The sequence below is a fragment of the Homo sapiens genome, chromosome 11, assembly GCF_000001405.40.
Source record: "Homo sapiens chromosome 11, GRCh38.p14 Primary Assembly".
Classification (NCBI taxonomy): domain Eukaryota; kingdom Metazoa; phylum Chordata; class Mammalia; order Primates; family Hominidae; genus Homo; species Homo sapiens.
The window spans coordinates 129,229,068-129,245,899 of NC_000011.10; the positions used below are offsets into that span (position 1 = coordinate 129,229,068).

The 16,832-nt window shown below is 37.3% G+C and overlaps 1 protein-coding gene and 1 long non-coding RNA gene across 8 annotated transcripts in view; both read right to left on the reverse strand.

Moving 5' to 3' along the window:
* Window positions 1–16,832, reverse strand: part of ARHGAP32 (Rho GTPase activating protein 32) — a 314,573-nt gene that overhangs the window by 264,008 nt on the left and 33,733 nt on the right. The window lies entirely within an intron of this gene.
* Window positions 4,711–16,832, reverse strand: part of LOC399975 (uncharacterized) — a 49,387-nt gene continuing 37,265 nt past the window's right edge. The window contains exon 2 of the long non-coding RNA NR_145484.1: window positions 4,711–8,181. This is a non-coding gene — a long non-coding RNA (uncharacterized LOC399975). The remainder of the gene's footprint in view (window positions 8,182–16,832) is intronic.

Here is a 16,832-nt window from a genome sequence, read left to right on the forward strand (position 1 = left end):
AATGCTGTACCACCTGGACAAGTTTCTGGATTTACAAAAATCTAAACTCTGTATTTTAAAGAATACAATTATCTTAACTGAACTTGCTTTTGTCAAATATAGGCTTTTAATTATACTATTCTTTTGGCTTAACTTGGGCATTATTGCAAAACATTAGTCTTCATTAACTTACTAACCTCACATACTTATAAAGTGTGTACTGACAGAAAACCAAAGGGAATTTGTATAAACAGATGCAATTTATTTATAATTAAGGCAGAGGTCACATGTAAATATTTGAAATATTTGAAAAAATATATACAAATTATATTATTTAAATAATTTTCTGGAAGTTATGTTTATATTAATTAGTGAACCTTTGAAAAAACTTTTTCCCCTAATTAAACTTTTTACTACTCGCTCAATTATCAAATGCTACCAATTATCAAAGAGCTAATTCATATCGTTTTTACACTATGTTAAGTCTATACCACCACTATCACCACTACTGTGCAATCCCAATGCTGCCTTAACTGCAAATTTAAGGCTGAAAAGTCTATAGAGCTCTAAGAACACAAAAGGTAGCGTAGTGGAGAGGCTATCGACTAGGCTAGGGGCCACAGGAAAACCACGATATATCTGAATCCCTTAAAATGAATCAATGTTTTTAAAAATCCAATTACTTAAGGATTTTCACTTGCATCACTTTTGGTAGAACAGTCTGAATATTAAGATATATATATGCATAACATTAATATGGCCCAATTCCAAGCAACAATTTTTTTGGGGGTGGGAGGCAGGGTCTCACTCACCCAAGCTGCAGTAGAGTGGCGCGATCCCCTCACTGCAGCCTCAACCTTCTCCGACTCAAGTGATCTGCCCACCTCAGTCTCCCTAGTAGCTGGGACCACAGGCATGCCACCACACCTGGCTAATTTTTGTAATTTTTATAGAGACAAGGTTTTGCCATGTTGCCCAGGCTGGTCTCAAACTCCTGGGCACAAGCGATCTGCCTGTCTCGGCCTCCCAAAGTGCTGATTACAAGCACGAACCATTGTGCGCAGCCTTAATATATTTTTAAGCTGCTAAATGAAAAACGAAGTTATATGCTACTGAAGAATTGGGACATTGGGTGGCACTCTTGTAAAAGAAATAATTACTGTAACATACAGGTTGAGAAAAACCTAAAGTTTAACATTATACTGCTTGGCCAATCCAAATTATTTAATAAAATCTACTTTAAAAGAAATTACTTGTTTCCCAAATCCACCATCCATGTCTTTGAGGAAATGTTTCAGATGTTATTGAAAAAAGTAGTTGTTTTTGGACGTGGATAAAAGTCAGGAAGCATTTGTCTTTCCTCTCCCTAATCTCTCTCATTTGAGTTTACAGTGAGAATACAAGCAGAAACATACAATGATGCAATTATATTCCATAACATATTTACTGTTTTATTCTACTTACTTTTTTAAAATTTGGTTATAAAATATCTCACAATATTTTGTTAAATATGGAAAAAGCAAACAAGTTTAGTATAGGCATTGTGTCTTCTCCAAGCTATATTAGTGACATCAAATTAAACTAGAATATATTTTTAAAATATTATTTCTCATGTATAATATTTCACAATAAGTATGTGCCTGAGAGTAAAACTTTTTAAAATATCTTTGAGCTAAATTATTTCAACAGGAACCATATCAAACATCATACATCAAATCAATAACTGGTTAACTTGTAAAATATAAAAATCCATAAAAAAGAGCCCAAAATTTAATATATTATCCAATACCATAAAGTAATCATTTTGGCCAGGCACGGTGGCTCACACCTGTCATCTCATCACTTTGGGAGGCCAAGGTGGGCGGATCACTTGAGGTCAGGAGTTCGAGACCAGCCTGGCCAACATGGTGAAACCCCATCTCTACTAAAAATACAAAAATTAGCCGGCCATGGTGGTGGGTGCCTGTAATCCCAGCTACTCGGGAGGCTGAGCAGGAGAATCGCTTGAACCTGGATAGCAGAGGCTGCTGTGAGCCCAGACCACACCAGTGCACTCCAGCCTGGGCAACAGAGTAAGACGCCATCTCAAAAAGTAGAAAATTTAAATTTAAAAAGTAATTTTTCATTTTTACATAGCACATACTTTGTGTTTCTTGTGCAAATATTTACTGTTTGTTATTGTTACGGTTTTCTATTGAGACATCCTGCCCTATTTTTGACAGCTATTAAACATGTGGCTAATAATTTTGTTTTCTGATTACAGATGAAATCTCAGTACAGACGCACTTTTTTGTTAAATACACTAACAAGGAAGTTAGTGTATTTCCAAAGAAAATGCAAAATGCTTGGAATATCTTCAACATTCTCAAATGTAAGTATGATGTGTGACCGGCAAACAAATTATATACAACTTTAAATTTTTAAAAAACCTAGGGAAGTCCTGGTTCCAGTAACAGTGGAGTAGCTTGTATTTCTCCAACAAATTCTAGTTCTTCAATGGATTCTAGCTCTCCGACATCTTACAAAAACTGTCAACTGTGGACAAAACATTACACAACCACTTAAGAAAATCAGAGGCCAACTATAAAAGTAGTACACCTAATGGGATACTGTATAAAGGTTTGTCAGTCATCCCAACTGAAGACAACTTTGAAGGGCCATCCCAATTCAGAATTCCCTAGAGTCAGCTAAGGCCTTTCTTAAGACTGCCTCTCATGCCGGTAATCCTAGCACTTTGGGAGGCAGAAGCAGGCGAATCACTTGAGCCCAGGAGTTCAAGACCAGCCTGGGCAACATTGAGAAGCCCCATCTCCATAAAAAATACAAAAATTAGCCAGGCCTGATGGTACACACCTGTAGTCCCAACTTCTAAGGAGGCTGAGGTGGGAGGATCACCTGAGCCCAGGAGGTTAAGGCTGCAGTGAAGTCATGATTGCACCACTGCATTCCAGCCTAGGTGACAAAGTGAGACGGACTCAAAAAAAAAAAAAAAAAAAAAAAAAAAGAGACTGCATCACACTCAACTTCTCCCTCTACTCACTTCTCTGTTCCCATTTCTTCCTTCCCACAGGTGTTGATACCAGTATTATCCTAATAAACATCCTTTGTATTAATCTTGGTCCCATAGAGTTTGAGAACCACACTCACGGGTGACATTAGTGTAGCTACAGATTATCTACGTATCAGTTAGACAGATATTCTGGGTGATGAACTAGGAAACAGGCATAAAGCACTTTACACTTTATACAACAGAGGGCTGTCTCCAAGAAAAGCACCTGAGTGACTGAACTAGAAGATGAGTTCATCTAGCCCCACTTTTCATGGCATATTATTTCTATTTGAAAGAATGGTAGACAAATTAGGGTTACTCAAATGATGATATTTCCTTAAAAAATGAAGTGAGCCAGTCATTTCAAGGAAAACAACTGGCGTTATTGTTGAAAATGATAAAATTTGAACTTTCAAGTAAAAGTCAGATTCTGGAGAATTTGTATTTGATACTAGGAACTTGATAGCTTGATGAGATCAGTAATGATGTTAATGATATTAACTAGTGATCTTACAAGGCCATAAAAAAAAAGGTGTCAGCCAAGATTGACTCTCATCTGAAGGCTGGGGGGAAAAATTTCCTTCCAAGTTCATGCGGGTTGTTGGCTAAATTCACTTCCTTGCAGTTGTAGGATGAAGGTCCCTTGCTGGCTGTCAGACCAGGGCCACTCTCTGCTTAGACACTGGCATCACATGTCCCCTTCCTATCTTGGAGACAGCAATGCATGACCAGTCCTTCTCATGCCTCCAATCTCTCTGACTTCTCTTTCCGCTACCAGCCTGAGAAAACTTCTCTTTTACTTCCCTCTCTCTTCCACAAGGGTCAGGCCTGCATAGATCTCTTCCAGTTGCAGATGGAATTGTTCTCTAACTTGATTGGGGTATGGATTACTTAAACATATATATTTGTCAAAACTTTTCACACTGTACACTTAAGACATGAATTTCATCATATTCCAATAAAGTATTTATTTTTACTGGAGTATAATGCTATTTTTATTGGAGTATAATATTATACTCCAATGAAAACAAGTAATGCTAAAAAAAATGTAACCATTACTTTAAAAAAAGAATCCTGATCTTTTAGAGATGTGCACTGAAATAGCAACAGATGATATGATGTCAGGGATTGGCTTTGAAATAATCATGGGTGGTAGGAGTGGCTTTGGATAAAACAAAATTGGTCACATATTAAAGACTTCTGAAACTAAGTGGGGGGTACATAGGAGTTTATTATATTCTACATTTACTTTTGTATATGTTTGAGAATTTCCATAATAAAAAGATTTTTGACCTAACCAACTCACAGCAGGCGATACAAAATGACAAAAATTCTAATACACAATTGGTGTGAATACAAAATAATAAAACCTCTTTAAGAAAGGGCTCTGTCTAACTCTACCAATGCTGAAATGGCACACACCTTTCAACCCAGCAACTCACTTTTCGGATGCCTTAGAGAAGTCATGCACACATGCACAACTGAACGTGTACAAGACTGATCAATGTGGCATGGTCTATAATATTAAAAAAAAAAAAACCTGCAACAATCTAAATGTTTTGGGGATAATGGAAAAAGTAACTGCAGTATATTCATACAATGAAAATATATGTAATAGTTAAAATGAACTGTATCCATGTATTACACGGAATAAATGAGAAAAAAAGCCTGCAGAGTGATATACTTTTTATATAAGGTTTTAATATACTAAAGTTTTAATATTACATGATAATATACAATATACAGTCTAATACTATGCAATATACAGTTTTAATATTTATCATATAATGCTATATATTTTTTACGGATAGACATAATAGAGGTCTCAACAAATTCAGGATAACTGTTACTTCTAGGTAAAAAGAAAGGAAAATAATATCAGGGGTTCAATTGTATAATATTTCATTTTAAAAAAACCTGAAGCAAGATGGTAAAGCAAAAGGAATTAATGGAGCAAGTATGTTGGTTCATGTTCCTTGCCGTACTTTCCTGTTTGTTTTTAAATATCTCAAAATTTTTTTAAAACAAAAAAACAAAGGCTATTGCAATAATTCAAAGAAGAGATTACTGACAAACTATCTAACATTAAAGTTTTTAAATAAGATTTCCTTTTAAGAACTTCATGCTATTTCAGAACTGTAAACTATTACATTTCAAAATACCCACAGTTAAATATTGATCTGAAAGAAGTCCTCCTGACAACACCAATAATGTATATACTATAAAAAATGACTAACTCTCAAAAATGTAGTCTAAGCATTGTGCCAAATATTTTGAAACTATAAAAATATATATGTAAAATAGTCTACTATATATTTTTCCTTAAAATATATATCCTAAGGAAATATGAAAAATGTAAAATTTTATTAAGTTTAGGTGACGAGCACATGAGTGCTAAGACCTATTATCTTGTACTTTTCTGTGTATGTTGAAAACACTGACAAAGTTAAAATATATCAATATAATCTATATATCTGCAAGAAGAATGGCAAAAATACATATACTGTTTTCTAGGTTATTTTTCCCAAAGATCTCCCTACTACTTACTCAAAAAGAAAATCATTTACTTATTTTTAATCTGCCACCTGAATGAATCTGGCAATTTTTAGAGAAACAAAACCACCCCTCCAGAGTAGGGTGGGGATACTCAGCACAGGAACTATTTATTTAAAGGGGCGTCTCTGTCAGGACAACTAGGTTTTTAGCAACAAAAACCTAGCAACAGAAAAAACAAACAAACAAAAAAACACAGGTAGTTGTTCTTCTATTTCAATCCCTATTTCACCATTCCCTTAGTTTACCAGGCTTTTAAGTAGGACTTCACTGGTTTTGACCAGTGGCCCCCAAAAAATATATATCCACATCCTAATACCTGGACCCTGTAAAGACTGCACTATTTAGAAAACAACTTTACAAATTTAAGTTAAGGATCTTGAGATGAACTCATCTTGCATTTCAGGTGGGCTCTAAATCCAACAATAATTATCCTTATAAGAGACAGAAGAGGCACAAATACAAAAGAGAAGGCCACGTGAAGGGAGTGTGGCCCTGCTGACATCTTGATTTCGGACTTTAGCCCTTCGGAACTTAAATAAACTTCTGTAAGCTACCAAGTTTGTGGTCACCTGTTATCTTACCTTCTGAAACATTTCCCTACCAATTCAACTAGCTACCTAACACAGCACCTGCCACGAGCTCTACCTGGTCTAGAATTTCACCCCACGTTGACTTTACCTGCTCTAGAATTTCATCTCACATTTACTGGGCTCCTCCCTACACTCTTGCCTGAGCTCCTACCCTTAGGTACTATATGTATAAATATGTGTAACCTAGTCTAAAATTGTCATCATCTGTAGCAAAAGTAAGTTTGCACCATTTTTGGTATTATCTGCTCAAATACAAGAACTGGTAAAATGACAGGGCAGCATGGACACAATTATAGGTCCATAAAAACACAGCATTACTGAGCTTGGTCTTCATATAAGAGAAAACAGGTGGCGCTTGGTTACATGAATAAATTCTTCAGTGGTGATTTCTGAGACTCTGGTACACCCACCACCCAAGCAATGTGCACTGTACCCAATGTGTAGACTTTTATCTCTCCCCCTTCCCCACTACTCCCCGAGTCCTGAAAGTCCCTCAAAGTCCATTATATCATTCTTATGCCTTTACATCCTCATAGCTTAGTTCCCACTCATAAGTGAGAATATAGGCTATTTAGTTTTCCATTCCTGAGTTACTCCACAGAGAATAATAGTCTCCAATTCCATCCAGGTTGCTGCAAATGCCATTATGTCATTCATAAACACACACACACACACACACACACACACACACACACACACTCACACACATTTTCTTTATCCACTCATTGGCTGATGGGCATTTGGGCCAGTTCCATATTTTTGCAATGCGAATTGTGCTGCTATAAACATGCATGTGCAAGTATCTTTTTCGAATAATGACTTCTTTTCCTCCGGGTAGATACCTAGTAGTGGGATTGCTGGATCAAACAGTAGATCTACTTTGAGTTCTTTAAGGAATCTCCACACTGTTTTCCATAGTGGTTGCGCTAGTTTCCATTCCCAATAACAGTGTAAAACTGTTCCCTTTTCACTGCATCCACGTCAACATCTATTATTTTTTTATTTTTGATTATGGCCATTCTTGCAGGAGTGAGGTAGTATTGCACAGTGGTTTTGATTTGCATTTCTCTGATAATCAGTGATGTTGAGCATTTTTCCATAGGCTTGTTAGACATTTGTATACCTTCTTTTGAGAACTGTCTATCCATGTCCTTAGCCCACTTTTTTGTGGGATTGTTTGGTTTGTTCTTGCTGATTTGTTTGGCTTCTTTGTAGATTCTGAATATTAGTCCTTTGTCTGATGTACAGATTGTGAAGACAGTCTCCCATTCTGTAGGTTGTCTGTTTGCTGATTATTTCTTTTGCTGTGCAAAACCTTTTTTGTTGCATTCACTTTTGGGTTCTCAGTCATGATGTCTTTGCATCCTGAAACTCTGCTGAATTCATTTACCAATTTTAAGAGCTTTTTGGATACGTCTTTAGGGTTTTCTAGGTATACAATCACATATCATCAGCTAACAGGGACAGTTTGACTTCCTCTTTACCGATTTGGATGCGCTTTCTTTCTTTCTCTGATTGCTCTGGCTAGGACTTCCAGTACTATACTGAATAGAAGTGGTGAAAGTAGGCATCCCTGTCTTGTTCCAGTTCTCAGAGGGAATGCTTTCAACATTTCCCCATTCAGTATAATGTTGGCTGTGGATTTGTGGTAGATAGCTTTTATTACCTTAAGGTATGTCCCTTCTATGCCAATTTTGCTGAGGGTTTTCATCATAAAGGGATGCTGGATTTTGTCAAATCCTTTTCTTGCATCTATTGAGATGATCATGTGATTTCCATTTTTCATTCTGCTTATGTGGTGTACCACAATTATTGGCTTAAGTATGTTAAACCATCCCTGCATTCCCTGGTATGAAACCCACTTGATCATGGTAGATTATCTTTTTGATATGCTGTTGGACTCAGTTCACTAGTATTTTGTTGAGGATTTTGGCATCAATGTTCATCGGGGGTACTGGTCTGTAGTCTTCTTTTTTTGTTCTTAATATTTTCTTATTTTCATTTTGCCTACACAGATCAAAATAAATGTTGATGTGAATAGTAAATCTCACATTTAAAGAAATACAAATTTCCCTTTGTTTATAACTCATTCATCAGTTAAACAAATATTTACTGGTCATTTGTTACATCCTAGCTGATGAGAAAACTTCAGAAAACAAAATCTTTGCTCCCAGGGACTTTACATTCTAGTGGGGATTACAAATGTTTTTAAAGGATTATTTATTGGGTAGTGATAAGTGCTTTAGCGTGTTAAAGGAATGAAGAATGCTCAGGACTGCTGCTTTAGATAAGGCTTTCAGAGAACTCCTTCCTCTGTGAGGTGGGGACATGAACAGAGGCCTAAATGAACTGAGTGCATTACGTGGATCTAGGCAGATGGGTGCACAGCTGCAAAGGCCTCGGGGTAAGAGCACACTTGTGTCCAGTGTGGTGCAACAGTACGGTGAGGGCAACAAAGTGATAGGAGAAAAGGCTCCAGAAATAGGGCCAAACCAGGCAGGGCTTTCCAAGCTATGCAAAGAACCCCTGAAATGAGGAGCTACTGAGAGCCTTTTTGCAAAAGAGGAACATGACTCTCCTTACACTGAGAAGGATAATCTGGCTGCTCTATAAAGACTAGACCAAGTAGGGCAAAAATCACACCAAGAGACCAGTTTAAGGCTACTGCATTGATCCAAAGAAGTGAGAGTGATTTAGACTAGGGTGGTAGCAATAGAAGTAGTGAGAAGTGGCCCAACTGAAGACGCATTTTGATGGTAGGGACAAGGGAGTTTGGTGAGGTAGTAGGTATGGGGCAGAGAAAAAGTCAAGTCACCACAGTGCCAGCGGTTTTTGATGACTCAAGGAAAAATTCAATCTTCTCAATTATAGTTCTGACTAACCCTAATTTCTCTTCTAAGCTTGAGTGAAATTAATTAATCCTGAATCTGCCATCCTAGAGACCAAATATCATGGAATTTATTTATAGTCCTTGCAAACTTTGAGGATACAGAGCACCTTCATATTAAAAGATTTTTCCTTCTAACTCTTATACCCTCCCAGGAATAATTCCTAACCATTAACCCACATAAATGGTGCTTATGCCTTTCTGTGCCCTTTCTTCTCCCCTCTCTTCACACTTCTCATGACCCAGTCAGAGAAAAATGTTGCACAGTGAGGACATGTAAGTGAAAAATCTACCAATGGCCATTTACAATCAGGGATTTCATGCACTACTGGATTTACTAGTCATTTCAGCCTCCACTACCACCACACATCTATAAATGTCAGTAACAGGTGCTCTTATACACTTAAGATTATTCTTACATGCATGAGTAATACATACACTGATGGGATTTAAAATAATCAACTGCAAATTGGGTGTGGTGGCACGCACCTGTAGTCCCAGCTACTTACAAGGCTCAGGTGGGAGGACTGCTTGATCCCAGGAGTTCCAGGGCAGCCTGGTTAAGATGCTAAGACCCAGTCTCAAAAAAATAAACCAACCAATTGCATAATCATAGAACTTATTTTAAACACACACACACACACACACACACACCTCTAACCAAACATAATTAAGACTTCTGATGATGCAATAAAGTGTTATTTTCACAATAATAATTTTTTTTGAAACAGGGTCTCACTCTGTTGCCCAGGCTGGGGTGCAGTGGTGTAATCTCGGTTCACTGCAGCCTCGACCTCCCAGGCTCAAGTGATCCTCCCACCTCAGCCTCCCCAATAGCTGGGACTACAGGCACATACCACCATGCCCGTCTAATTTTGTTTATTATTTATAGAGTATTATTTATACAGACGACGTTTCACTATGTTGCCCAGACTGGTCTCAAACCCCTGGGCTCAAGCAATCCTCCCACCTCAACCTACCAAAGTGCTGGGATTACAAGTGTGAACCACTATGCCAGGCCACGATAATAATTTTTCTAAGCCCTCGCATATTGTACAGCTTATTAAATAGTACAGACTTTCCTATTTCCTATATAGTCTTTCTACTTCTAGTCTTTGCCCTTTTCCAGAACATTATTTTATACCTAACTTTTTTTGTGTGAGCACTTACTCTGTTAGAACATGCAGTAAGCATTCTGCAGCATAATCTCATTTATGCATCACAGCAGCGCTGTAAGGAGGGTACTAGCATTACCCACATTTTGCAGATGAGTAATTTTAGGATTGGTCAGATGACCAAAATTACCCAGAATGACAGAGCCAGGAGCTGTCCCAGAAGTGAGGCCTCTAGAAGCTCATTTTCCAAACTAGCATTACACTAACCACCTTTTAGTTAGTTCACCTAGAATAACCCTCCTAAAATAGAAATTGGATGATACCAATTCTGCTAAAATACAATACCTAGAAGCACTTTCGACACCCATAAAAGAGCGTCCGAATTCCTTAGCACATTAGGGTTAGCATCATCTCTAATGGACCCCCTCACTTCCCACATTGCTGCTAATATAGATTACTGGCCATTTTCCAAATATGCTCTATACTATTCCACCTGTGTCTACTCTCACGCTAATCCAAAGCCTTCCCCCTCCATCCTCAATCTGTGCAAACAGCCAACTCTCTAAAATCCAACTCAAATGCCACTCTCAGTTAAATTTTTTCCCAAAACTTACAACACATACACACACACAATTACTTAAAAAACAGACTTTTTGCACCAGCAGATCCCAAATTTCTTCTCCTATCTCTCAGACTACAAATTCTAAGGCAGGAACTGTTGTTTGTAATCTTCATTTCCTACACAGCAACTGCACAGTTACTATGCGCAGTGACAAATTAAATAATTTCCCCTATACTTTTTCATTTTTTTTTTCTGAGACGGAGTCTCACTCTGCTGCCCAGGCTAGAGTGCAGTGGCGTGATCTCGGCTCACTGCAACCTCCGCCTCCTGGGTTCAAGTGATTCTCCTGCCAACCTCATCATACAATATACCCCCACAGCCAAGGGTGACTAGACATATAAATTTCTTGGTAAAGTTATAGCAGTTTAGCAAGATAGCTATTACTGCAGACTTTGGAGTCAGACTGCCTCGGATTCCAATTCCATTTCTAGCACTTACTAGCTATATGACCTTGGGGAAAAAAAAAAATCTGGTCAAACTGAACTACTTGCTGTTCCACAAACACACTCCCAGTAGTTTTCTGCCTCTGTAAATTCTTACTGGAATGACCCTTCCCTAATTGTGCTACCCAGCCTTCAGTAGGCCCATCTCAAGTAATTTCCTTTTCTACAAGCTTTCCCTAGGTCTTCAATAAATTCACACAGTACCTAGTTTACCCTTCTCACAGGATATTTATATTGCCTTGTGGTATACTTACTTTTAGTTGAATTACTCTTGCGGGCCAAAGCTGTCTTGTCTCTGAATTCCTTTAGATACACAACACAAGACCTTAAACAAGTATTAAGTATTTGTGAACTAAGCAAAAAGTAAGTAATCTGATGATATCAGTTTTTCCTCTTCCTTCTCACAAGCCCTAAATGCTTGAGAGTGAGATTAATATTTTCTTTTATATTTTTTGTCATTATATCATAAGAAACCACTGCATAAAGCTTTTCTATCTTTAATATGGTTTGAAAAAAATTTTGAGTCTGCAAAAGCTAATTTTATGTAAATTTTAAAGACTAAGTTTAAAAGTAACATTTCAACAGAGGAAATAGAAAGAAAGGTTCCTGGAGAAATCTGGGAATCCAAAAGAGAGGACAATGTACAGTTTAACTCCGTGGTTAAGAATATGGACTTAGGAATGAGACATTCCTGAATTTGAATTCTTGCTCCACTATTTACCATCACTGCAGCTTTGAGCAAGTTATTTAATTTCCTTAACACTTCATTTTTTCACTCATAAAATGGGGATCTTGGTACCTATGAGATGTAAGGAATAAATGAGCTCACATGTACAAAATGTATATGTCAGTACCTGATACACAGCTTACATTCAATAAATGAAGTTAAAATTTTAAAACAAAAAATATTTTAATTAAAGGACATAGATACATGGTAACTTACACTTCATTAAAACTTCATTAAATTTCCTTTTATTTGGAAAGGTAAGAAAAAATAAAATTTGCATCAAGTGTTATAATAGCCAATTTTGATACTATAAAAACAGACAAGTAGTCCAGGTGCAAGAGCTCATGCCTATAATCCAGTGCTTTGGGAGGCCGAGGTGGGAGAATCACTCGAGCCCAAGAAGTCAAGACCAGCCTGGGCAACAGAGCAAGCCCACATCTCTACAAATAATTTTGTAAAAATTAGCCGGGTGTGTTGGCGCACATCTGTAGTCTCAGCTACTCAGAGATTGAGGTGGGAGAGTCACTTGAGCCCAGAAGGTCAAGGCTGCAGTGAGACGTGATGACACCACTGCACTCCAGCCTGGGCAACAGGGCAAGACCCCATGCAGAAAAACAAGAAACCAAAAACAGGTAAGTAGATACTCTACTGGATTTAGTAAAAACAAAGTCTATGTAACAAGTTCTCACACAGAAGCCCTTCGAAGTCACAAAACAATAATTTTGACTGGATCATTCAGTAATAAAAATCCCAATGACATACTAAATCCAAGATGCTGCCTCTCCAGAAAAAGACAAAAATTTTAAAAAGTATTCAGTAATGTTCAAATAAATTTAGACTGTGTAAATATAATAAAGCAAGAATGACCAATAAAAACATAGTATTTACAAATAGGGTGGTAAATCCTGGTAGGGAGGAAGCTGAAAGAGCTGAAAAACATTGTTTCTATAGAGTAGAAATGGGAGGCAAGCTGGGATAGGGTCAGGAGACTGTTGCTTTTCTTTGAAAGTCTCATGGGAGTATTGCTTTTTAAAATTATGTTTGCAACTTAGTTGATGATAATACAAACTTATTCTAAAGGAATGTTTATTATTATAATTGTTTTACAGGCAGGACCTTGGTTAGGGTGAGACAAGCAAACCACCTATGGTGCAAAATTTTAGGAGTCACCACTCTCAAGGCCAAGTACTTGAACATACTTACTCAACCCCGCAAGTGATACCTCCTCCTAGCCCTGTTCAGAGGGCTAGTGTTTTAGGAACTCAACACAAATGTCATAACCTCAAACAACTGAGGGATTTGAGCTGTTACACTCACTTATGGTATGCAATAAAATATACTGTTCAATACATAACACATTTCTAAAATTACTACCTACAAATATACATAAAAAGAAACCTAGGCCAGGTGCAGTGGCTCACTCCTGTAATCCCAGCACTTTGGGAGGCCAAGGCAGGCAGATCACAAGGTCAGGAGATCGAGACCATCCTGGCTAACACAGTGAAACCCTGTCTCTACTAAAAATACAAAAAATTAGCCGGGCGTGGTGGCGGGCGCCTGTAGTCCCAGCTACTTGGGAGGCTGAGGCAGGAGAATGGCATGAACCCGGGAGGTGGAGCTTGCAGTGAGCCGAGATCACACCACTGCACTCCAGCCTGGGTGACAGAGCGAGACTCCACCTCAAAAAAAAAAAAAGATAAAGAAAAAAGAAATCTAGAATGATCTTTCTGGTTATTAATGACAGTTTTTTCTAGGTAGTAAGATTTTTTTTTTGGACACACCTCTGTACCAAAAGATTTTTTAAATAATGAGCATATGAAATTGTAATAAAGTGGTTCTTTTAAAATAAACAACGTTCAGCTCCCAAACCACCTCTACTAACTGCACACACACACCTACCTGCACATTTTCCCATGACAACTTCATCCACTTCAATGGCTTCATCTACCACCTCTACGCATGCAACTTAAGTACAAATCCATATTCTTCAACTCTCTAGCCACCCAACTCCCTCAACTTTCACTTCCACATTGCCAATTACCCCCTACATAGCACCAAATGAATGTTTCACTGGCAATTCAAAGTCAGTCAAAAATAAACCATCATCTGTCCACATATACTAGCTCATCCTCATTATTTTCCAATGTGCATTAAGACTAATGCAATAAATCCCCAAGTCCCTCAGGTTTAAAACCCAAGAGCTAGTTTTAACTTCCACCTCTCCCTTACTCCATATATAAGGTTTAGAAATCTGTCATCCAACTTCTGTAATTTGACATCTAGTCTACCTCTCATTCCCAGAAACACATTAGTTTCCTTTTCATAATCTATGTCCTGAAATATTACTAACAATCATAAATAAGTAAATATGATACAGTACTATCCTCAATACAAAGCATAAAACATGGCAAAGAACAGGTAAGCAACAAATGTTTCTGAATAATAAGTGGAAAAAAATAGTCTTCCCAGCTCCTATCTCTCCTACCTCCACCAAACCATTCTGCAGATATTCCATCTTCCTAAAACATAGTTCTCATCAAGTCACAAGAACCTTCATTTACCAATGTCACATGAATAAAATAAAAATTCCTCAGCTTGGCATTCAACCATTCCAATATGAGGACTCTTTGTCTCTCCTCCAAGTTACATCCCAATTCTAATCCACTAGATACCTGCTTTGTTTTCCCATCTCTGTCTTTGTTCATGTGCCCCATAAAATGCCATTATCAGAATTTTACCTCTCAGAATTCTACCATTCAAAGCCCAGCGAAAATGTCATCTTCTCCACCCCCACAAGCCCAAAGTAACCCGCACTTTCCTGTATTAGAGCTCTCGTAGCACTGTGACACTTTCTTGTGTCACCATATTGTGATCTGGAATTAAAATTATTTCTCAATATGTTGCATTTACTACCAAATGTATTTTAAGTTCCTTGTGAACAAGTACAGAATTTTTACTTATTTATCTCCTATTATACCTAATATAATGCCTGGCACAACAGAAAATAAGAGACCTGTGCATCAATAATAAAATACAACAGCAGTTGCAGTGGCAAATTTGAGTTCTTTATAAATACCAGATACTATTCAAAGCACTATAACATTATTTCATTTATTCTTCATAACAACTCCATGAGGATGGTACTATTATTTCCATTTTGCAGATAAGAAAACTGAGTCAGAGTGAGAACCCTGTCTCAGAAAAAAAGAAAGAAAACTGAGTCAGAGAGATAATTAACTTTGTCAACATTTAACACTATTCCTCAATTGTATAAATAATTCTGCAAATAATGTATCTGCATATATGGTTAGTTCCATATTTTGCACTATTTCTTTAGACTCTAAAAATTATAACATTCAGTCAAATAGTATGGATGTTGTAATGGTCTTTCACATTTATTTTTTAAACGTTTTCTAAAAGGATTAACCATTTTATAAAGCTATCAATAATGTACGAAGGTAGAAGAAAACCTAGGCATTACCATTCAGGACATAGGCATGGGCAAGAACTTCATGTCTAAAACACCAAAAGCAATGGCAACAAAAGACAAAATTGACAAATGGGATCTAATTAAACTAAAGAGCTTCTGCACAGCAAAAGAAACTACCATCAGAGTGAACAGGCAACCTACAAAATGGGAGAAAATTTTCGCAACCTACTCATCTGACAAAGGGCTAATATCCAGAATCTACAATGAACTCAAACAAATTTACAAGAAAAAAAACAAACAACCCCATCAAAAAGTGGGCAAAGGACATAAACAGACACTTCTCAAAAGAAGACATTTATGCAGCCAAAAAACACATGAAAAAATGCTCACCATCACTGGCCATCAGAGAAATGCAAATCAAAACCACAGTGAGATACCATCTCACACCAGTTAGAATGGCAATCATTAAAAAGTCAGGAAACAACAGGTGCTGGAGAGGATGTGGACAAATAGGAACACTTTTACACTGTTGCTGGGACTGTAAACTAGTTCAACCATTGTGGAAGTCAGTGTGGCGATTCCTCAGGGATCTAGAACTGGAAATACCATTTGACCCAGCCATCCCATTACTGGGTATATACCCAAAGGATTATAAATCATGCTGCTATAAAGACACATGCACACGTATGTTTATTGTGGCATTATTCACAATAGCAAAGACTTGGAACCAACCCAAATGTCCAACAATGATAGACTGGATTAAGAAAATGTGGCACATATACACCATGGAATACTATGCAGCCATAAAAAATGATGAGTTCATGTCCTTTGTAGGGACATGGATGAAATTGGAAATCATCATTCTCAGTAAACTATCTCAAGAACAAAAAACCAAACACCGCATATTCTCACTCATAGGTGGGAATTGAACAATGAGATCACATGGACACAGGAAGGGGACTATCACACTCTGGGGACTGTTGTGGGGTGGGGGGACGGGGGAGGGATAGCATTGGGAGATATACCTAATGCTAGATGACGAGTTAGTGGGTGCAGCGCACCAGCATGGCACATGTATACATATGTAACTAACCTGCACAATGTGCACATGTACCCTAAAACTTAAAGTATAATAAAAATAAATAAATAAATAAATAAATAAAGATCACAACAGAATTATCAACAGATTAAAATAATAATAATAATAATAATAATAATAATAATAATAATAATAATGTATGAAGGTAACAATTTTATTGCCTCCTATCAGCTTAGTATATCACCATTATTTTCCCATTCTCCTGGTTCAAGTAGCCAAAGAATGACATGCATAATTCATTGTGTTAAATAATAGTGCCTTTAAGGTTACGACCAGTGTTTAGGGGTGGTTGTTGCTAGTGTTATAAACAATATCTTAAGAGCTACTATGCCTAA